The sequence below is a fragment of the Homo sapiens genome, chromosome 17 (genome assembly GCF_000001405.40).
Source record: "Homo sapiens chromosome 17, GRCh38.p14 Primary Assembly".
Classification (NCBI taxonomy): domain Eukaryota; kingdom Metazoa; phylum Chordata; class Mammalia; order Primates; family Hominidae; genus Homo; species Homo sapiens.
Window position 1 is genome coordinate 2225202 of NC_000017.11, and position 22883 is coordinate 2248084.

At 44.7% G+C, this 22883-nt stretch overlaps 1 protein-coding gene and 1 long non-coding RNA gene across 14 annotated transcripts in view, besides 5 other annotated features; one reads left to right on the forward strand and one right to left on the reverse strand.

Annotated features, from left to right (window-relative positions):
* The window catches only part of SMG6 (SMG6 nonsense mediated mRNA decay factor), a 243947-nt gene that overhangs the window by 165363 nt on the left and 55701 nt on the right, over positions 1 to 22883 (reverse strand). For 10 of the 13 annotated variants that reach the window (XM_011523769.3, XM_047435696.1, XM_005256569.5 and 7 more), the window contains 2 exons: positions 19457 to 19518; positions 11291 to 11436 (listed from right to left, as the gene is read on the reverse strand). In XM_011523769.3, coding sequence (XP_011522071.1) covers positions 11291 to 11436; positions 19457 to 19518 — 208 coding nt within the window. Of the gene's footprint in view, positions 1 to 11290; positions 11437 to 11595; positions 11647 to 12293; positions 14336 to 14416; positions 15792 to 19456; positions 19519 to 22883 lie in introns of those variants that run through there. The other 3 variants (XM_005256571.6, NM_001256828.1, XM_017024398.2) reach the window with 3 other exon arrangements.
* Positions 7477 to 8409, forward strand: LOC101927839 (uncharacterized). The gene is made up of 2 exons (NR_110888.1): positions 7477 to 7527; positions 7749 to 8409. It is a non-coding gene; the product is annotated as an uncharacterized LOC101927839 (long non-coding RNA).
* Positions 13615 to 13684: an enhancer, noted in NCBI's record as "active region_11480". NCBI's record gives its function as "activates an Ori minimal core promoter by ATAC-STARR-seq in GM12878 lymphoblastoid cells {active_cell/tissue: GM12878}" and the evidence as "EXISTENCE:reporter gene assay evidence [ECO:0000049][PMID:35858748]".
* Positions 14656 to 14715: an enhancer, noted in NCBI's record as "active region_11481". NCBI's record gives its function as "activates an Ori minimal core promoter by ATAC-STARR-seq in GM12878 lymphoblastoid cells {active_cell/tissue: GM12878}" and the evidence as "EXISTENCE:reporter gene assay evidence [ECO:0000049][PMID:35858748]".
* Positions 14736 to 14865: an enhancer, noted in NCBI's record as "active region_11482". NCBI's record gives its function as "activates an Ori minimal core promoter by ATAC-STARR-seq in GM12878 lymphoblastoid cells {active_cell/tissue: GM12878}" and the evidence as "EXISTENCE:reporter gene assay evidence [ECO:0000049][PMID:35858748]".
* Positions 15406 to 15505: an enhancer, noted in NCBI's record as "active region_11483". NCBI's record gives its function as "activates an Ori minimal core promoter by ATAC-STARR-seq in GM12878 lymphoblastoid cells {active_cell/tissue: GM12878}" and the evidence as "EXISTENCE:reporter gene assay evidence [ECO:0000049][PMID:35858748]".
* Positions 19786 to 19835: an enhancer, noted in NCBI's record as "active region_11484". NCBI's record gives its function as "activates an Ori minimal core promoter by ATAC-STARR-seq in GM12878 lymphoblastoid cells {active_cell/tissue: GM12878}" and the evidence as "EXISTENCE:reporter gene assay evidence [ECO:0000049][PMID:35858748]".

Sequence of the window (22883 nt, forward strand, 5' to 3'; positions counted from 1 at the left end):
GCGCAGTGGCTCACACCTGTAATCCCAGCACTTTGGGAGGCTGAGGTGGGGAGATCACTTGAGGTCAGGAGTTCGAGACCAACCTGGCCAACAAGGTGAACTCCATCTTTACTAAAAATACAAAAAAAAGAAAAAAAGAAAAAAAAAAAAAGAAAAAGCTGGGTGTGGTCATGCCCTTGTAATCCCAGCTACTCAGGAGGCTGAGGTACAAAAACTGCTTGAACCTGTGAGGCAGAGGTTGCAATGAGCCAACACTGCACCACTGCACTCCAGCCTGGGTGACAGAGTGAGCCTCTGCCTCAAAAAATATAGGTGCGTTTGAACAAATATTTACTGTCAAAATAATAATTAAAAAACCAAATAAATCAAACCAAAAATAACGATAACTTGTTTTATAGGGTTTAAAAGGAAAAAAGAATATACATGACAACGATGGCATGCAAATTGGGAAAATAAATTTAATAAATAAAATTTTAAGTTTTTCTGTGGTTCTTATATTGTTTAAGAGGAGAATGGAAATCTGATTAACTTTTGATTTTGGCAAGGTGAAGTATGCATGCTTTAATTCCTAGGGTAACCCTAAAAGAAAAGAAGACTAGTGCTGGGGGTAAGGAGTAGGGGCACGACGACAACGGTGGAATGGAAACAATAATCCATCCAAAAGAAGACAGAAGAAAAAGAGAAACAGAAGAGACAGGAGAATGAGAAAGCACCCGGAGAAAATTTCTGCAAAATATAAATCGGATAAGGGCTTATGTCCAGGTTATAGAGAGAACTCTTAAGACGTAATAATAAAGACAAACAACTTGATAAAAAAACAAGTGGGCACTTTGGGAGGCTGAGGCAGGCGGATCGCCTGAGGTCGGGAGTTCAAGACCAGCCTGACCAACATGGAGAAACCCTGTTTCTACTAAAAATACAAAATTAGCTGGGTGTGGTGGCGCATGCCTGTAATCCCAGCTACTAGGGAGGCTGAGGCAGAAGAATTGCTTGAACTAGAGAGACAGAGGTTGCAGTGAGCCAAGATCATGCCATTGCACTCCAGCCTAGGAAACAAGAGTGAAACTCCGTCTCAAAAAAAAAAGAAAAAAGAAAAAAAAGAGCCGGGCGTAGTGGCTCCTGTAATCCCAGGACTCTGGGAGGCCAAAGTGGGTGGATCACGAGGTCAGAAGTTTGAGACCAGTCTGGCCAACACAGTGAAACCCCGTCTTACTAAATATACAAAAAATTAGCCGGGTGTGGTGGTGTGTGCCTGTAATCCCAGCTACTTGGGAGACTGAGGCAGGAGAATTGCATGAACCCGGGAGGTGGAGGTTGCAGTGAGCCAAGATCACGCCATTGCACTCCAGCCCAGGCGACAGTACGAGACTCTGTCTTAAAACAAACAAACAAACAAACAAAAAAAAAACAAACAAGTGGGGCTGGGCTCACACCTGTAATCCCAGCACTTTGGGAGGCCAAGGCGGGTGGATCACCTGAGGTCAGGAGTTTGAGACCAGCCTTGCCAACATGGTGAAACCCCGTATCTACTAAAAATACAAAAATTAGCCAGGCGTGGTGGTGAGTACCTATAGTCCCAGCTACTCTCGGGAGGCTGAGGCACGAGAATTGTTTAAATCCAGGAGGCGGAGGGTGCAGTGCAGTGAGCCGAGATCACGCCAATGCACTCCAGCCCTGTGACGGCAGAGTGAGACTCCACCTCAAAAAGGAAAAAAAGCAAGTGGGCAAGAGATGTAAACACTTACCAAAGAAGATATACAAGTGGCAAATAAACACATGAAAAGTCTCTCATCCTTAGTTATTAGAGAAACACAAACCAAAATGAAATAGCACCACACATTTACTAGAATAGCTAAAATAAAAAGAAATGACAATACCAAATGCTGACAAGGATATAAAGAAAGTGGAATTCTCACTGCTGGAGGGAATATAAAATGGTCCAACCACCACAGAAAACAGTTTAGCAGTTTCTTACAGAGTTAAAGATACACATGCCATATGATCCGGCAAGTCCATTCCTAGGTACTTACGTAAGAGAAATGAAAACACGTCCACAAAATACTTGCATATAAATGTTCATGGCAGCTTTATTCATACTAGTGAAAAACTAGAAACAACCCAAATGTTTATCAACAGGTAACTGGATAAACAAAACTACACAATATCCAGACTCCTCAGTAATGCAAGGAAATGAAATACTGATACATGTAACAACATGAATAAATCTAAAAATTACTATGCTGAGCTAAAGAAGTCAGACATTAGTCAGACACAAAGAGTGCACACTCTTAGGATTCCATTTACATGAAACTCTAGAAAAGACAAATCTAACATACGGTGACAGAAAGCAGATAAGCAGTCGCCTAGGGCAAGGGGTGGGATGGAGATCAACTGGGATGGGCACAAAGAGAACTTCTGGGGATGATGGAAACGCTCTCTATCTTGATTGTGATGGTTAGTAACTTGGGCATGTAAATTTGTCAAACTGACTGAAGTGCATGCTTAAAATGGGTGTGTTTTATTGTATGTAAACTTTACTTCAACAAAATTCATTTTAAAATATAGGATGATGCATATAACTCTCAAGGTACCAATAACTGCAGTAACCATCAATAGACTCAATGCTTATAATAGTCCCAAAGAGAAAACAACCGAAATGCCCATCAATGGAAAAATGGATAAACTAATGTGACTAAAATGTAAGATTACTGCAATGAAAATAAATCAACTACAGCTACACATATGAACATGGACAGAACTCGCAAACATATGGAATAAAATAAACCAGGGAGAAAAGAATATAAATAGTATGATTAGCACGATACCATCTCTATGCAAGCAAAGCAAAATTATGTGTTTTGTTTTATTTTGACTTTTTTTGAGACAAACTCTCGCTCTGTCACCCAGGCTGGAGTGCAGTGGTGTGATCTTGGCTCACTATAACCTCCACCTCCTGGGTTCAAGCAATTCTTGTGCCTCAGCCTCTTGAGTAGCTGGGATTACAGGCATATGCCACTGCGCCCAGCTAACTTTTTTTTTTTGAGACGGAGCCTCACTCTGTTTGTTGCCCAGGCTGGAGTACAGTGGCACAATCTTGGCTCACTGCAACCTCCACTCCCCAGGTTCAAGCGATTCTCCTGCCTCAGCCTCCTCAGTAGCTGGGATTACAGGCGCCTGCCACCGTGCAGGGCTAATTTTTGTATTTTTAGTAGAGATGGGGTTTCACCATCTTGGCCAGGCTGGTCTAGAACTCCTGACCTCATGATCCACCCGCCTCAGCCTCCCAAAGTGCTGGGACTACAGGCGTGAGCCATCGCGCCCGGCCTAATTTTTGCATTTTTAATGGAGGCAAGGTTTCCCCACGTTGACCAGGCTGGTCTTGAACTCCTGGCCTCAAGTGATCTGCCCGCCTCGGCCTCCCAAAGTGCTGGGATTACAGGCGCAAGCCACCGTGCCTGGCCCCAAATTATATTTTACATATATATACATATACACACACATACATATATACATACTAGGTGATAACACTACAAAGAAAAGCAAGGAAATGAATTCGCAGGTCAGGATGATAGTTACCTGTTGGTGAGGTAACTACAGCTATACAGAGAGGAAGTACATAGGAACATCTGAGGGACTGACAATATTCTATTTCTTAACCTGGGTGGTAGTTACATGTGTGTTTACTTTATCCTTCTTTCAGATGTTTTATACTCTCACACTCCTTTCTGTATCAATGACATATCTACCTTCCCCCCAGGCCACAAAAAGTAGCACAGTCTCTCCTAAGAAAAGCATGTGAGAGGCCTCTTTTCTAAAAGAAGAGGGATATTAGACATGATGGTGAAAATATGAAACAATGCTCCTTAAAAAAATCCGCCCACCCCCTTTTTAAGAGACACTATGTATCCTAAGCCAAGAGAAAGAGTAAACACTTCTACCAACTAGTCATGGACTGCGCTTTCCATGTGAGAGGGAGGTTTCCTCTACCCATGACAATAATGAACATGAACTCCAGACAGCCCTGAGTTGCCCAAACAACAACCTTCTGCTAGCTTATTTGTTGTAGCCCCACCTGAGTGTCACGCCACTCAGAGAATTCTGACTTACCCCAACTCTCTTACCTTTACTCCTGTTCCTCTTCCTATCTCAGATCAGATTCACAGGTCACTTTCTTCATCAGAGAACAACAGTGCTCAGATTTGGGGGGACATTCCTTGCACTGTCTAGCTGCCCAGAGAAGCTTTTTCTTTTTTCTGATATCAAAGGATGGACACTTGACACCTGTGTATAATTTACTAGCTGTGCAGCCCTGCTTAACCTTTCTGATATGATTTTCCTCATCTATGAAACAGGACACAAAATATCTGTCCAGCCTGTCTCACAGGGCTGACAAGAGAATCAAAGGAAAACACATATGCAGTAACTATAAAGTGTCATCATGTATTAGAGCATGGAGTCATTGCTGTGGTTGTCATTACTGGTCACGCCCTCTGAAAACTACAATTCTTCCTCATATAGGCATTTACTTGGTTAGGGTCCAAAGTTCAACACTTCCCACCCCTCACCAGCCCCCTAGAACATACCTACTTTCTCTGTGAATTCAGCATACAGTATGAATCTGGCCTGAGCCCCACACCCACACCCAAGCTATACATTTACAAAACTTAGAGCTCTGAAAAGGTAGCTGAAAGTCCTGCTGCCAGGCCAAGCGCAGTGGCTCATGCCTGTAATCCCAGCACTTTGGGAGGCTGAGGTGGGCGGATCACTTGAGGTCAGGAGTTTGAGACCAGCCTGGCCAATGTGGTGAAACCCTGTCTCTACTAAAAATATAAAAATTAGCCGGGTGTGGTGGCCTGTGCCTGTAATCCCAGCTACTCGGGAGGCTGAGGCATGGGAATCGCTTGAACCCAGGAGGCAGAGGTTGCAGTGAGCTGAGATCGTGCCACTGCACTCCAGCCTGGGCCACAGAGCAAGACTCCGTCTCCAAAAAAAAAAAAAAAAAAAAAAAAAAAAAAAAAAAGGAAAAGAAAGGAAAAGAAAAGTGTCCTGCTGCCAAAATTCCTCCAAATAATGTTTCTCCTTCAGAATAAGTCCATGTCGGGGCAAAAAAAAAAAAAAAAAAAAAAAAAAAAAAAGGGAAAACCACAAACAATCAAATTGACAAGCTATAAAACGGCAAAAGAAACGAAATCTGGGCAACATGGGATATTGCATCTCTCACTCCACACCAAAGCAGCCATGGACACCAAACCACATGGCTATCTTGGGGCAAAACAAAGACCATTTCTTCAACTGATATGATAAAAGGCTTAATTTTACTGAGATGACAATTTTCTCATTTCTTTGGCTTTTCCTATTTCTCCTTCCCCAGCCTAAATACATTCTGAAAACAAGGACCCTGGAACCCAGAAGTGGAAAGACAGGTGGGTCCCTTGACATACTCACTTCTCTTCAGGGAACTACAGGCAGATCCACAGGCAGAGAGTGCCGAGAGCAGTCTGCACTAAGCGGCCTGTCAAGAGTTCTATCTCCCCCACAGGGAAAGAGGGCAGAGCTGAAGCATGCATCCTTCTCTGGCCTGCCTTCCAAAGCCTAACCTATTCTGACCTTTGAATCTACTTCTACTTTGAATCTACTTCTCACAAAATTCCTTGCTCAGGCTGGCTCTGTTCATTTTCTCTAAACTGAGGCATCCTGAAAATGAAAGTCAGGTGGCAATGATTCCCTACGGAAATCTACCCACAGAGATCCTTGTAGAGAAAAAGCCCAAGGGTTTCTACCACCAGAGATGTAGGAGGAGGAATGAGGGGGCCAGTTTACACAGCTAACTCAAGCCTAACCCCTTATGAAAGGTGGATTTCCTGTACAACTGTTCTGACAAGCGGAGGATTAGGCACTTCATACATTCTGCTTGGGTAAGAGACTCACGACAGAAGTGAATCACCACAGAGGAGCATACTGCTTTTCTGAACGTCTCTGAGATTGTTGTATGCTGGAAGACAAGGACACTTCGGTTGCGAACCAAACTCAACTAGAGTCACCTCCCATCACAACAATGGCATGAAACATCCCACACCTACAAGTTAAAGCTATCAGTCCTATACAGACAGCTGTAGCTAGCTAGCTAGCTCTCTCTCCCTCTGGAGACCCACATGTGACACTCCCTCTACCTTCTGTAATTCAGGATTACTAACACCATTCAAAGCAAGCATAAGGCTGGGTGCAGTGGCTCATGCCTGTAATCCCAGTAATTTGGGAGGCCGAGGCGGACGGATCACGAAGTCAGGAGTTCGAGACCAGCCTGGCCAACATGGTGAAACCCCCGTCTCTACTAAAAATACAAAACTTAGCCAGGCGTGGTGGTGGGCGCCTGTGACCCCAGCTACTCAGGAGGCTGAGGCAGGAGAACTGCTTGAACCCGGGAGGCAGAGGTTGCAGTGAGCCGAGATCGCACCACTGCACTCCAGCCTGGGCGACAGAGCAAGATTCTGTCCCTCCCTCCCCCCACCCAAAAAAAGCAAGCATAAATGATAATGAAAGGAATGCCAGTCAGGCTCTACCTTAATCCCAGCTCCCAAATATTCCCTAAAAGCAGGCAATACCAATAGCACGTGCAAGAAGTGTCTCTTGGGTGCCCTCTTGCTGCCACCGGGGCTTCTCTGCAAAGCTAAATGGATGTATGTGCTATGAAACTGGTAGAGGAAAACAGAGGGAGCCAGGGCACAGAAAAGGGAAGTTATTCCAGTGGTGGCCAATGAGTAACATCCAGTGATTTATAGGCGGTATAATCCAATAATACAGTAAAATAAAACAGTGTGTGCCTGAAGTGGTTTTGATTCCAGGAATTATAAAACATTTTTGAAAAAGAGAGAACAAGAGGGGGAGAGAAAATGAAGGAAGAAAAAAAAAAGGGCCAGATTGGAACAAATTGGGCACAGATGGGGGATGCAATGGGGTTTCAGTGCTCCCCTACCACAATGCTGCTTCAATTCTTCCCTTCAAGAAACTAGAGTTTTATTTCCTTAAATTACAAAATTTTTAAAAATTAAAATTCTTGGAGTACTTGTGGTTTAGATCAATAGGTCACCCTCCGGCACCACGTCAACCAATGAGATGACTACCGAAGTGTTAAATACGGAGGCACGTGGAGAAAGCCCTTCCTCGCTTCAGGCTCAGGAATGCCTTAGAGAGATTATCAGTTATGACATCACTCTGGGAACCACCTATCTCACCACCAGCTTTGGACCTGGTCCACGTAAGAAACACTGCTCGGTGAGAGCTGGCTTTCCCAGAACTGTTGCCTTCTTCACCCATGCACTCAGCAAATGCTTACTGAATGCCTAATACATACCAGGCCCTATGCCAAGGCCCTCAAACGTCCCTTGTCCCACCCCTCAAATTTATCTATCCCCAACTACCTGAGTGTGCAGTATGAGGATTCTAGAATTCTGTATCCACTGACGTAGGACTCTGCATAGGGCCCAACCGAGAGGAGATCAAGGTCTCTCCACCAACACCCGTGAACCCGTGAGTTTTAAGACCACTGCTGAAACTGGAAAGTTTAGTTGGTTAAATAATGTGGCATTACTCAACTTATTTCGCCCTGTAGGAAGGGGGGCAAATCTGGCCTCACATCCTCTGCCTCCAAGAGCAGAGTGGGCTCCTAGGAAAACCATAACCTAGGGAAAGGCAAAGATGCCATTCTCTCACCACCATCTAAACTTTTCCTTTCATTTTGCCTTCTGCAGTGTCCAAAGCTTTTCTACACACTTGAAAAGTAATCACAGTAAAACGTTAGCAACAATATGATTTCCATCCTGGATTACTGATATTGCAGAAAGAAGATAGTTATACAAGGGTGGCACTGAACACACAAGAAACAAATGATTCACGGTAGCATTAGAGGCACCAGCAAAGGACACACTTTTAGAGAAAGGAATCTGCTCCCCTGTGGCTCTCCAAATCACACTCCTTAGGCACCACATCTACAGGGAAGACCCAGGTAGAGACTGTGAGGATCTCAATGGCCTGGTGGGCCACAAGATCACTTCTGCTTCCGGCTGGAATGCTCCTTCTCCACAGAGTCCGGAAACTGACATATGCAGCCACCCACCCAGAAGGACATGTCCAAGAAGGAATGGAAAGAAAAATGATGGCCCAGATGTTCTGTAGCTTGCAGTGACTGCCAATTCACCACAGACCCCAGTACCTGGGAGGGCAAGGCAGCATCAGGCTCTTGCTTCCTGGTTTCAGGCAGCCAGGGCCCTGATGGTGGGTGGCAACTCTGACAGAATGCAGACTGGCCAGGGGAGAAACCTTTAGAAGGGCACTGGCTGACGGGACTTGGGGGTTGAACACACAGCGCTGATTTATCACTTCCTTACTCATAAAAATGTGATTCGAACTGCTGCTGATTAGTGAAGGATTTCAATCTTTACCCTCTCCCCAACCCCCCTCCTTCTCCACCCCCGGCACAGATGCTGCTACTCAGCCACAACACCCCCTTATTGCCACTGTCCAGGCAAGCACAGCACAGCACAGGGGACCAAAGATGATGACTCATGTGCTGGGAAATGGAAAAGTGCATCTTCCCACCAGCCAGCCCTGCCGAGCACTCTGCTCGCCCCTGTCCCAATGGCAGCCCACACAGCGGGGTCTGGATGGCCACCTCAGCTGCACACTGGGTACTTGGCAGCACGTCCACAGAGCTCTCTGTCCTCACTGAGTGTTATATCCTGTGGCCTGGGCCGTTTTTCCTTGAAACACCCTTGGAGCCTCTGAACACCTCAACCCATACTCTTCTTGGCCCCAGTGACCTCATCGAGGTGACAATGAGGTGAGAGTCAGGAGCAGACCAGTCATGAAAAGTAGGGTCTCAAGTACGGGCTTTATTTTTCCATGTCTCTCCTGGCTAGAGGGTACTCGTTATGACCCACCATGGAAGAGTCCTAGAAAAAGTGCCTTGGCCTCACATCAGGGAACAACCGATTTCTTTCTCTGTACTCACCATCTTACCTTCCTTTTACCTGTATTTTCTTTTTTTTTTACTTTTAATTCTTAATTATTATTATTATTTTTTGAGATGGAGTCTCACTCTGCTGCCCAGGCTGCAGTATAGTTTGCAATCTCGGCTCACTGCAACCTCCACCTCCCAGGTTCAAGCAATTCTCCTGCCTCAGCCTCCTGTGAAGCTGGGATTACAGGTGCCCACCACCAAGCGCAGCTAATTTTTGGTATTTTTAGTATAGACAGGGTTTCGCCATGTTGGCCAGGCTGGTCTCAATCTCCTGACCTCAGGTGATCTGCCTGCCTTGGCCTCCCAAAGCGCTGGGATTACAGGCGTGAGCCACCGCACCCGGCCTACCATTATTTTCTTAACCTTTACTTAACAACAGCTACAAGAAAAAGACTCACTGGTGGCCTATTAAAAGGCCAAGGTATTCCTTTCCATGGAATAGAAGCTGCTGAAAACAGATGCTTCATGGGCAAGGGCTTTTAATTCTTAATTATTATTATTATTATTTGAGATGGAGTCTCACTCTGCTGCCCAGGCTGCAGTATAGTTTGCAATCTCGGCTCACTGCAACCTCCACCTCCCAGGTTCAAGCAATTCTCCTGCCTCAGCCTCCTGAGAAGCTGGGATTACAGGTGCCCACCACCAAGCACAGCTAATTTTTGGTATTTAAAGGCAGGTCCTTTACATTCACACCTAAAGAAGCCACAGGTCATTTGGTGCTGGAACAATGTCTTGGCTGAGGCTGCAGCTCTGTGACAGGTAGCTCACTGAACTCTGTGGGTTGTTTTTAGTGGGAGATGGGAATGAACAGGAGGGCACCTCAGGAGGGCCCATTTCCAGAGTCAGGTGGGCTTCCTACTTGGTAGCAGACTGTCCCTCCCCTTTGGGCCTCACCAGCACAGCATTTTACAAACTTTGTTCTCTTCTCCCTGGAAACCAGTGCTGCCACTTAAGAATCGATGCTTCCTCAGGGCCATTTACCCAAATAGCCATCTCAGGAAAAATTAGCCAAGTTCAAAAAGGCATCTAAGCCCCTGGATCTCACTTTCTGCTGGGAATTCTAAACGCTGTAGCAGGCAGCATGAGAGGAGGAAATCCTCTAGGATTCAGAAGTAACTGAGAACCCAGACACACTCTGAGAGGACCTTGCCTAGTCCCAGAAAGATCCGCATTTCCATTTCAAGGCAAAGTGTGGCATATTCACTCCCCCACCACAACCAAGTGAAGCATAACCCTTAAGTACAAACGGGGAGATAAATCAATCAACTTCATGGTGAGAGAAAGTGCTATGAAAAGGGGCAACAAGAGACCCAGCGCCACTCTGTCAAGAAACACCAGATCTGTTTTACAGCAGGGTCTCTATGGGCCAATTCCCACTTCCTGGCATTTCTTGCCCTGAGACCAAACACTCTCTGTCAGTGTTCTGAAATGACTCCTAGGCAGCATGGACCAAATTACCCTTGCGAACAGACACAGAAAATAATGTCATCCCTGTACTACATAATTCCATCAAGTCATACCATATCATCCTTACCTAAGTGAAATGAAGGGAACGGAAGGGAAGGGAAGGAATCCTGGTAACATCCTTTGACCCTGACCTGGTCATCAGAACATTTAAAACCCTGCCAATCTGTCCTTCTCCCCTCTACTTCCACACCCACCCGACCCCCTATGAAAAAACCCCAAAATGTTCAGAAAAACATTTTAGAATGCACACTGGTATAATAGCTAAATTCTGGGACTGGTGGTTTTTGTGCTTCCAGATTTGAGTCACCAAAGCTCATCAATTCTCGGTTCTTACTCCCTGGCAGGCTCCCACTAGGGATATCCCATAGGGAACTAGACTTTTCCATATTGAACAAACAGGGTACATGAGTCCAGAAACAGCTATTCCCAATCCCTGCCAAGCGTATGGTCTCTGCAATGAAACATCTCAGCAATGCCTCTCCCTTGGGAGAGGCTCTGGGTCTGCAGCCTTCAAGAGGCCTTGCTGCTGCCTTTCGCGTGGCCAGATGTGCAACTGCATCTCTGCATTTGCAAATTAAGCTCTATACCCATGATTCCCTCCTTCCATCCCACCCAAGCACTAGAGAGTCATACAGATTTCAAAGTAAACTAAATATCTGAGACAATGGTAGGAAGCGTAGGGTAGGGTGTGTGTGTTCGGGGGTGGGGTGGGGGGAGGTAGGTATGGTAGGTATGGTAACACAAGAAAGAAGCTACATTAATCTCTATCTGTCTATATTCTAGATGAAGAAACTAAACATGCCTTACCTTTCAGCTGGGAGTTGTGTACTGCAAACATATTGATGGTCATAAGCTGCAGCATGCGGGTACTTCCAATGGGAGAGGGGCTGTGCTGCAGTAACACCTGGAACTCCTTGAGGACCTTCTCAGCCACTGCAGGGAATGTCTCCATCCTGCAGATTCAGAAAACCCATCAATGAGGCACCTCTCTCTTTCAGTCTCTCTCTCACTCTGTCTCACACACACACACACACACACACACACACACACACACACACACACACACACCAGACAACTACTGCCTAGGACATTTCTTTGCTACTTTCACAAACCTTCCCGGTATCCTGCAATTTTGAACAAATTCAAGATAAAGGAGTTTTCAGGGTCCAGAGATGCAAACAACTCAAGTTTTGGATAAATCACTATGAGTTATTATGCTTTGGTATGCTATTTCCTCACCCCTGGCAATAACTGTGTTCAAGCTAATATCAAAGTTTCTCTCTGAAACCATCGGCTTTTCTAAATACTCAACAAATTTCCTGAAACCTTCACAGTCCCTAAACTCTCTGGTATGAAACTTAATTCAATTAAAAAAGTAATGTGAATCTAAACAAAAAAAAAAAAATTTTTTTTTTTTTTTGAGACAAAGTTTCGCTTTTTTCGCCCAATCTCGGCTCACTGCAACCTCTGCCTCCCAGGTTCAAGCAATTCTCCTGCCTCAGCCTCCTGAGTAGCTGGGACTACAGGCATGTGCCACCATGCCCGGCTAATGTTTGTATTTTTAGTAGAGACGGGATTTCACCATGTTGGCCAGGCTGGTGTCAAACTCCTGACCTCAAGTGATCCACCTGCCTCGGCCTCCCAAAGTGCTGGGATTACAGGCATGAGCCACTGCACTCGGCCTAAAGATATTTTACCCAAGCGTTTACTTTAGGTAACCAGACATAGTTCTGCTATTGTCTTCTGAGGTACTATCACACTGACTGTTCCGCCTAACGATCCCAAATTTCCCCTTGAAGAATGCCTAGACCTAGAAGCCCCCAGTCATCTGTCTCAGTTCTTCGTGTGTTGCCGTCCTCCTCCCTCTCACAAGGCTCTGCTCATCGGGGTCTGTATGTTTTCAGGCCAGTGGAAATAGAATGCCCTGGCCAAGTGCCACTCCCAATACAGGAAGAGGCTGTAACGCAGGGAGGCAGAAATCTAGCCAGTGACCTAGGGCTCCTAAGGAGAGGTCATTCAAATCACTCCTTGCCAAATGTGGCCACTGGATCCCAAACAGTGGTGCATGCCTGGAGCTTCTTTGGCAACAGAAACAAACCACAGCTGAAGTCTTCAGAAATAAAAAGCAAGTTCAAGCTTGGTGCTAGAGAGAGTAGCCAGGCACATGGGCCTTAGGGTTATGCCAAACAATTCGTGGTCACCAAAGTATTTTTTACCATGTCCCCCAGCCCCCAAATAAACAAACTGCTTGTGACATACTTGTGGGGTTGGGGAAACAGCTCCAGGTTGGATTAACAAATAGCTTCTGAAAAGCCACAAGGAAGGTAATCCTTCTCAAAAGATAGAAAGCAGTTTCAAGTTCTAGAGGAAGGTGCTTCTAGCTTCACCCATCTCGGCCCTTCCCGACTGGGAAGTGTCCTCCCTGGATTAGAAAACTCCAGGTTTTCTAGAATCTTGGCAATCTTCACTCCTTGCACTTGGATGGCAACTCTTATTACTGACCCCCTGGTGCCCAGAAGTCGTGCCACAGTTATGGGTCAATTACAGTTTACATTCCAGTTCCCTCCTCTGCTGAGCTGTCCTCATTTTCATTGGCACAAAAGATGCCATGCATTTGCTTTTTTTCTCCACATGCCATTTCAAGTACCCACCCCTCCAAAACAAAACAAAACTCTTTTTTTTTTCTCTAAAAAATTTCAGAGCCGTTAAAACTCTTGGAAGATGTGGAATGGCAGAGAGTGACATGTTTGGGGCTGGACTAGATCCGTTTTTCCCCACGGGCTCTAACAAAGGTTTCATTTTAAACCCTGACACTGTGCAGCACTCTTTCTGGTCAGAGGTGGGGAGGGGGCTAGCACTTCTCGTTACGAGAATAGCAGCGTTCACTCTGCTTGAAAAGCAGCCACGCTGGGCAAGTTTCAGAGCCATGTGTCTCCGTGTTGAAAGGCAGTAGAGAGCCAGCACAGAACGACAGGACAGAAGTGTCACGTGGGACAGTTTTGCTTCGAAGCTGTGTCTGAGGAAGCCTCTTCCCTGGAGTAGGAATTGGAAACAGATCCATTAACACTCTCTGGGTCAGACTGAAGTCTTGAACGAGCACCAGGTCAAATGTCCACATTTCCTTTTTATAAAAAGTTTTTTAAAAAAAATTCTCCCTTTGCCTTCCAACTAATTCAACATGATTAAAACAAAAGAAAAAACTGAAAGCAGAAGGATATAAGTTAGAGTAACTTCAAATGTGAGATGTGAGAGAAGGTGGATCTATTCATGCAAAACCAGCCTTGTTCAGCAGTAACCACGGGAGGCACAGATAAAGAGAGGAACCCTCCTCAGGGCTCAGTAGGTGGTTTCTGGTTTCCAGTTTTGTAACCAAAATGCTATCTAATTCTGGCCTCAAACTACCTGTAAGTAGTTTTATGTCTTTCTCTCTGAGAAATAATCTTTGCTTCACCCCGCATTACTGATGGACACGTACGTAAGTATGTAGGTAGATGAGTGAAAGGTCTGGAAGAATACACGCCCTGATGTCTACTACTATCTTTTTGGAGGGCACAGAGTTAAAAGAAATTTTACTCTTAGTTTTAATGTTATACTTTTATAAGGATTTCTGGATAATACTTATGTAATAATTATAAAATTATAGCCAAGAAGAAACAGCAGTCTCAGCAATAAAGCAGGAAGAGAAGCAACAGAGAAAACATACAAAAAGTGGTCATTTATAATCGCCAAAAATTGGAAGCAATCTAAAGTGCCCAACAATAGATGATTAAGATGGAACATGCACACAATTGAATACTAGTTTTTTTAAGTTGTATTACATTTTTTAATCATGTGAGAGAAACTTCCAAACATATTAAATGAAAATAGTTGTAAAGCAATAGAAAAAAAGTGTGTATGTGATATGTAGGAAAAAAATTGAAAAAATTTTACCAAATTTTAACGGTGGAGTTATCTCTAGGTGGTAGGAATATGGGTAATTTTTTATTTGTTCTTCTTTGCTGAGTTTTCTAAATACTTTACAAAGAGCACTGTAAAGAAAGAAAAGATTTCTCCCATAATGAATACATCTTACTTTTGTATTTAAGAACATCTGTTAATTTAAAAAGCAAATCAGACACAAACATTATATTTTTAAAAATTAAAAGTACAAAATAAATATATCAGTCTTTGAATTCCAAGAGACTTCGAAGCTATGCAAATAGCATGACTAGGCAAGCAAGTAAAAGCTAAAGTGGTAACTGTGATCAAGGCAATAAGAGGAAGCAAAAGCATACTATTTGTCACAAATTCAGAGCCTATAGGCTGCCAGCTTCCTAACCTCTCTCAGTGGAGTCCAAGTGCAGGTGTGATCTGCCTCTCACCAGGAAAGGGTCTGTCAGGAGCCATATGGCACCCCGACTGAGTACTTCTCCCGAATCCGAGATGACTCTGTCCCTATCCTTTAAAACCTCAGAAGATACCATCGTTTTCGGGCTGTGTGTGTCACTGACTAAAGTGGCTGCCTTGTGATGTGATCTCTAGAGACACCTTGTTTCATTTGAATGGCAGTTTCAAGAAACCAATCTTTCAGACAACACCGGGACCTAGGCCCAGGACTGACTCAGACGGTGACTAACCGAGCAGGACTCAGCCCTCAGATGCTGAGGAACACAGCTGGGCTAGACAACATTCTCTGCAGAAAACAATCCAGGTTAGTTTTTCTCAACCTCTTATTTTTAAAAAACGAGCAAGATACGAATAACCCAGGAGCAAAAGACCAAAACCAAAAAACTAAGCCATGTGACAGGGTGGAAATGAGAAAAAAAAAAACAAATCATAGTACTACAGAACATAAGGACTGGAATGGACCTCAGAGACCATATCTTTAAACCACTGATCAGGTTAGTTGAAGCCCGCAGCAGCTCTGACTTGTTTACTCTCAAGATCTTGTAACTAGTAAGTGGTGAAAAACAAACTCTTTTTGGCACTGAATATTTCCTCTAAAGCTCTGAACCTCTCGTCAGCTAGTGCTGGGAGTTAAGAGACTTATCTTGCACATAGTAGGCATTCGAGTCTCTGCTGACGCAGTGTGGAGCACCAGGCACAGAGCAGACCATGCCTGGAAGCGCAGCGTCCGAGCTTTTCCGAAAGGGCAGGCGGGAGAGTGATGTGCCTTCAGCTGCTCCCCATTACAATCTCCTCACTCTTAATTCGTTTTCAACACCGCCCACATTTCACATCTTCTTCGTAATTAGGCAACAGTCTACGATGTTGTGTGTGGCTTGGGCTCATTGCTTTCCTAGTCTTACAGACTTCTATACCTTTTTCCCTGCAACAGAAATGTTATTTCTGTTTCTGCCTTCCAGAATAAATATGGCGCTCAATTTTATTTTACCTCCAGGACAGAATAAGAGGATACCCATAGAGGGAGTGTAGTGCCTAGAATCCACATACATTTTCCTCAATGAAAACTACCGTAAGTCATTTCTTAGGAAGGTGAAATTGGGCTGGCTTTACCTTTTTGACAACAGAATATGTTATATGCAGGAATAAAAGAGATCCTGAAAAATAACCTGGAACACAGTAAACCACCTCAGACAAATGAGATATCTATTCATTTTTAAAGGCCTCCAAAAAAGAAAACTCTCAAACATCCTCCCTTCTGTGAAATTTTCTTACACCTAACCCAAATCTCTCCAGCTACAACAGAAGCCAATTTCTCTTACTGTCATCCCATAAAAATCAAGACTATCCTATTAGGACCCTTTTATATTTAAACATGTTAGGCACCCTACAGCTGTCTCTAAATAAGTATTTTTTTACCTTAATGTTTTTCAAAATTAATTTTTCCTTTCAGATCTCATTTTCTGGCTTTTAAAAAAATTATCTATTATACTCATTAAAAAGAGAGATGGGGTCTTCTGCCTATGTTGCCCAGGCTGGTCTTGAACTCCTGGGCTCAGGCGATTCTCCCACCTTGGCCTCTCAAAATGCTAGGATTATAGGCGTGAGCCACCGCACCCGGTCATTATCTCGCTTTTTCATCATTACTGTGGTCCTTTCCCAAACTTATTCCAAAATATGTGTCAAAATATAAGAATTTTAGAAGTGGAGGGGAAATCAGGGTGTTTAGCTACTGCATAACCTGATAAAAATATATCCTAAATGTTCCTACATTCTGCACCAAGATTTATAACTTTTTTATTCCCAAAAGTCTCTAACAGGGCAAGAAATATCTAGAGTAGTGGTTTTCAGTGAGGGGCAACTTTGTCTCCCAGGGAACACGTGGCAATGTCTGGAGACATTCTGAGTCAGCACATTTGGTGCACAGTGGGAAGAAGGCAGGGATGCTGCCAAGTATCCTACAACGCACAGGACAGCCCCTCACAGCAGAGTCATCTGGCTCAAAATGTCGACAGCACCAAGGGTTGGGAAATCCTGACTTAGGGCAACATGGTACGGGAAAATTTAAAGAACAAACATAGGCAAAGGAAAAAAGGAGAGAAAACACTGAGTGAAAAGTAGTAAAGGAGAGAAAGGTGAAAAAACGAGAATAAAAGATAAATAGGCCGGGCGCGGTGGCTCACACCTGTAATCCCAGCACTTTGGGAGGCTGAGGCGGGTGGACCACGAGGTCAGGAGATCGAGACCATCCTGGCTAACGTAGTAAAACCCCATCTCTACTGAAGATACAAAAAAAAAAAAAAAAAAAAAAAATTAGTCGGGCATGGTGGCAGGCACCTGTAGTCCCAGCTACTCGGGAGGCTGAGGCAGAAGAATGGCATGAACCCGGGAGGCGGAGCTTGCAGTGAGCGGAGATCGCGCCACTGCACTCCAGCCTGGGCGACAGAGCGAGACTTCGTCTCAAAAAAAAAAGATAAATAAGCCATCTGTGGTGGTGTGAGCATGCAGTCCCAGTGACACGGGAGGCTGAGCCACGAGTTCAAGGCTATAGTGCGGTATGATCACACCTGTGAATAGCCACTGCACTTCAGCCTGGGTAACACAGACAGGCTCCATCTCTTTAAAAAAAAAAAAAAAAAAAAAAAAAAAAGAATAAGAAAGAAGCAGGAGTACCATCAACTGTCACTTTAAGTGTAGCACAATGGTATTTCCTACTCGGATGTGTTATTTTTAAGATGATACCGATATCATCTTATCCACCTTCAACCTTGTAACTACAGCCTTACATTACTCACTAGTGATTGTCTTGGGTCTACAGTAACCTACTAGAATACTACATATTTCTCTGCAGTGCTTAGCAATCCATCCGTCTTTTTATAATTCATTCATTTGTACAACAAATACTACATGCCAGGCTCTAGGAACACAACAGTGAGGCAAAAACTGCCAGAGTGGAACTTAAACTGGTGGCAGTGGCAGTGGCAGGACGGGGGAGGTGGGAGGCAGGAGATGGGACCAGTGATGCATCTAGTTTACTTTGCCTAAGTGAATGTCTCCACCTGTTATGTCTACAGATAGAGATTCATCTACTGGTACCTTGTCCAATTTTCCCAAGTCATTTTGAAATCCAAACTATGCTTGCAATGACCATCACTATCATTCTTACCCAGGTTGATACCAAATGAATATGTAATAAGCACACTTTCTAGTCCACCGCCCGTGGAGCAGAGTTTCTTCCAGTGGAACCAAGCCTTTCCGCTTCTCAAAAAAGTTAACTACAACGGTATGTGGAAACTGACATAGCCCCTACCTCCACTAAGAGAGCCTTCTAGGCCGGGCGTGGTGGTTCACGGCTGTAATCCCAGCACTTTGGGAGGGCGAGGCAGGTGGATCACATGAGGTCAGGAGTTCAAGACCAGCCTGGCCAATATGGTGAAACCCCATCTCTGCTAAAAATGCAAAAATTAGCCAGACGCGGTGGCATGTGCCTGTAATCCCAGCTACTTGGGGGGCTGAGGCAGAAGAATCACTTGAACTCAGAGGGCAGAGGTTGCAGAGAGTCGAGTCATGCCGCTGCACTCCAGCCTGGGCAAGAGAGCAAGGCTCTGTCTCAAAAAAAAGCCTTCTAGAGAATTACAGATAAACTTACGAAGTTATGACGGGAAGTGAAAGGGAAACATTGACAATAACTGGGGTATTCATAATTCAAAACAAATCACCCCAAAGGGTAGCTCACAATACAACTTCCAACTCAGAAAATATTAGAATCCAGTAGAAAACTGGTCTAGTGGAAGACTGGTCTGGGGGCACTGCCACCTACTACTTTCTTCACTCTCCTATACTCAGGGAGATCCTATACTAAAGAGGCACCAGGCATCCATCTGCTCTGGCGTGTAGGCATTACGTTGGGCTTAGGATCACTAGTTTTATGCAGAGAGGAAGAACTCGGATCCATCCAAGGAATAAAGGAATACTCAAAACTCGATCTGTTTCCAGGAATTTAAGCAGTCAAGTGTTAGTTTTGCACACACTACCTTCCCTGAGATGTCTATGGAAATCCATGGTGGATGATGAAACCGTAAGAGGCTTGGTATCTAATGAGATCAGCAATATGGCAAAGGAATCTGAGCATAGGAGGAAAGGATATGGGTCAAAAGGATATAGAAAGAAAATGTTACTCTTATTTTTGATGGAAAAGTAGTGGACAGTATTCTTCCCAAGGAGGACCCCCTGACAGCTGCACCCAGGGATTTAGCACAACTGCCCTGAGGCACTCACTAGGGACCTAAGCCGGAAGGCAGAGGAAAGAGAAACCCAGAGGGACTGGGGTGGGGGCTGGGACAAGATTGTATTTAAAGGAGTGTTTTAGTAAAGGTAGAGAAAGAAGAAACAAGAGAGATAGAGAGTAATATTTACCAAATTTCATGAGCACAGTAGGACAGAAGATGAAGGGAAGAGAAGAGAAGGTGGAGGCCTCTAAGAATTCACACCCTGTGCCCTCAGTTACAAACACAGTCCAGTTGCTAACAATATTAAATTCCAAAATGACTTGTAATGTAGGAAAATAAAATAAACATCCTGCACACTTACCCAATCCGGGTAAACAGCTTCCCATGGGCATGGAGAAAACTGAGGATGAACCTTTTGTTCAGCTGCATGGGAAAAAGGGAGAGGAGAAAACAATTAAACTTTCCCCAGTTTCCTGTTACTGAACAGAGTCCCCAGTGACACAATAACCTGGCCAGGGTCTAAGGGGTGGGCACTAGGGATGGGAACCAAATGGACATGCCCAAACTCTCACAGACCCAGGGCACATGCCCAACAGCTGCCGCTCAGCTGAGCCAAGATGACAACAGGCTCAGTGAGCAGACAGCACCCTCTGCCGGCAGTGGCACCTGTGTGCAGGGGATGAGGCGGTGAATCCTAATAAGCAGGATATAAAGAAAGGTGCCCACAGCTCTCTGAGGATCTAGGAGCCACTCCGGCTCCATAATCATGGAAATGAAACTCTAACAGGAGCAAGGATAATAGTGAAGGCCCTGGTTCTATTTGGGTTATTTTTCTACCTACCTAGCTAGGAAAGCAGGACTCTTTGACAACCAAGAGCAAGGTAACCCACCACTAACTAGCTCATCAAATTGTACTTCACCAGCTTTAAAAACTAGAGTTCATGTTCTAGGTCTGGAGTTGAAAATTCAAGTGTCTAAAGGGCTAGGCGTGAAGTATGCTGATGGAGACAGTAGCAAGCTATGACTATTCCACTCCAGTTTTGGCCAAATCCTCTATGTAGGCCCAAGCTGGAAACTGCAATCTGGGTTTTTTTGTTTTTGTTTTTTGAGACAGAATCTTGCTCTGTCACCCAGGCTGGAGTGCAGTGGTATGATTTCAGCTCACTGCAACCTCCACCTCCCAGTTCAAGCAATTCTCGTGTCTCAGCCACTCAAGTAGCTGGGATTACAGGCATGCACCCCCATAATCGGCTAATTTTTGTATTTTTAGAAGAGACGGGGTTTTGCCATGTCGGCCAGGCTGGTCTCCAACTCCTGGCCTCAAGTGATCCACCTGCTTTGGCCTCCCAAAGTGCTGGGATTACAGGCATGAGCCACTGCACCCAGCATGTTTTGTTGTTTTGAGACAGGGTCTCACTCTGTCGCCCAGACTGGAGCACAGTGGTGTGATCACAGCTCACTGCAACCTCAACCTCCTGGGCTCAAGTGATCCTCCTGCCTCAGCCTCCTGAGTAGCTGGGACTACAGGTATGTGTCACCACACCTAGCTAATTTTTAATTTTTTGTAGAGAGGAGTTCTCAATACGTTGCCCAGACTGGTCTCAAAATCCTGGGCTCAAGCAATCCTCCTGCCTCAGCCTCTCAAAGTGCTGGGATCACAGAGGTGAGAGTCACTGCACCTGGCTGAATCTGGATTTTTATGTGAAATACTCTGGCTTTTACATGTTGGCTACTAATGAAAATAATTTAAGCATTAAAGAAGCCAAAAAACACATTTGCCAGCTACATCTGGCCCATGAGCCACCAATTTACAATCGTGGTTCAAGGTTCTAGAAAATCTACTTCCATTGAAACCAAACTATTTCTCAGCAAAACAAGGGAGGGAAAAAAATTTCAATTCAAATCCAAAGCAAGTAGAAACAATCTAAAAACTAAACCTCCTTGTCATCTTCCCTGGTCTCCTAGAAGCAGTATATTCAGGGCTCTGTAGCCAGCCAGGAAGAGAAGTGAAGAATCTTGACCCCAGGATCCCAGTGGTCAGGGCAAGGAGTCCAGTATCGCTGGGCAGTCTGCCCCACAAGGAGAAAGTCCCTGTTTAATCCTCTGACAAAACAGAACATCAATCAAGCTATGGCAGTTCCATCTATTTCATATGGAAGCCAAGTGTGGGAAAAGAGGTACATTCTCACTTAACCAATGATCAACATCAAACTCTGCATAGAATGTTCACTCTATTTTTGCTTTAAATGAGTTACACTCATTTAATTTATAGATAAAAAGCTCAGAATATTTCATTGAAGATAACCTGTCTATACAGCAAGGTGAGTCAGGGCCAGGGACACTGGGTTCCATCAACAGAATGGAAGAGGCCGGGTGCAGTGGCTCATGCCTGGAATCCCAGCACTTTGGGAGGCCATGGCAGGTGGATCAATTGAGGTCAGGAGTTCAAGACCAGCCTGGCCAACACGGTGAAACCCCGTCTCTACTAAAAATACAAAAATTAGCTGGGTGTGGTGGCAGGTGCCTGTAATGCCAGCTACTTGGGAGGCTGAGGCAGGAGAATCGCTTGAACCCGGGAGGCAGAGGTTGCAGTGAGCCAAGATCATACCATTGCACTCCAGCCTGGACAACAAAGAGCGAAACTCTGTCTCAAAAAATAAAACAAAACAAAACACAAAAACACTAGAATACAAGAGTGAGGAACAGCTGCAAAATAAATTGCCCATGGCTACACCAACATTAGTGGCGAAACCTGGCCAGAATGCAGATCTCTAGATTTCCTAGTAGAGGAAGATGGTGAGAAACAGGGACCTTCCCATGAAAGACCTCTGCCATTTACCTGCGGTGGGATCTTAGGCAACGGATCTAAATGCTCGCTTGACCTGTAAACACTCAATTGTTAACATTCTCTCCTAACAAATGATGAAGCAAGTGGTGAAATGAAGCAACTGGAGAATCTGGGAGAAGAATATGTGGGAGTTTTTTGTGTTATTCTTACAACTTTTCCACAGATAGGATGTTATTTCAAATAAAAAGTTAAGAATACACATTCTCTCTCTCTTCCTATTTTAACTTGGTTATCCCTCTTCCTATAGATGTCAATCATAAATTGGTTAATTCATTCATAATCAGAAGGAATCCCTTATAAACTGGTTCTATTTATATCCTAAGTCTTTCATAAACTGGTTATATATAAAGGTTACTTGTACAGCCGGGTGCAGTGGTTCACGCCTGTAATCCTAGGACTTTGGGAAGCCAAGGCAGGTAGATCATCTGCGGTCAGGAGTTCAAGACCAGCCTGGCCAACATGTTGAAACCCTGTCTCTACTAAAAATACAAAAATTAGCCGGGTGGTGGGTGCCTGTAATCCCAGCTACTAGAGAGGCTGAGGCAGGAAAATCACTTGAACTTGGGAGGCGGAGACTGCAGTGAGCCATGATTGCTCCATTGCACCCCAGCCTAGGGGACAGAATGAAACTGTCTCAGAGAAAAAAAGAAAAAAGAAAAAAGATACAGGCCAGGCATGGTGGCTTACGCCTGTAGTCCCAGCACTTTTGGAGGTTGAGGCGGGTAGATCATGAGGTCAGGAGTTCAAGACCAGCCTGGCCAATATGGTGAAACCCAGTATCTGTTAAACAAACAAACAAACAAACAAACGAAACAGCCAGGCGTGGTGGCACGCACCTGTAGTCCCAGCTACTTGGGAGGCTGAGGCAGAAGAATCGCTTGAACCTGGGAGGCGGAGGCTGCAGTGAGCCGAGATCACACCACTGCACTCCAGCCTGGGA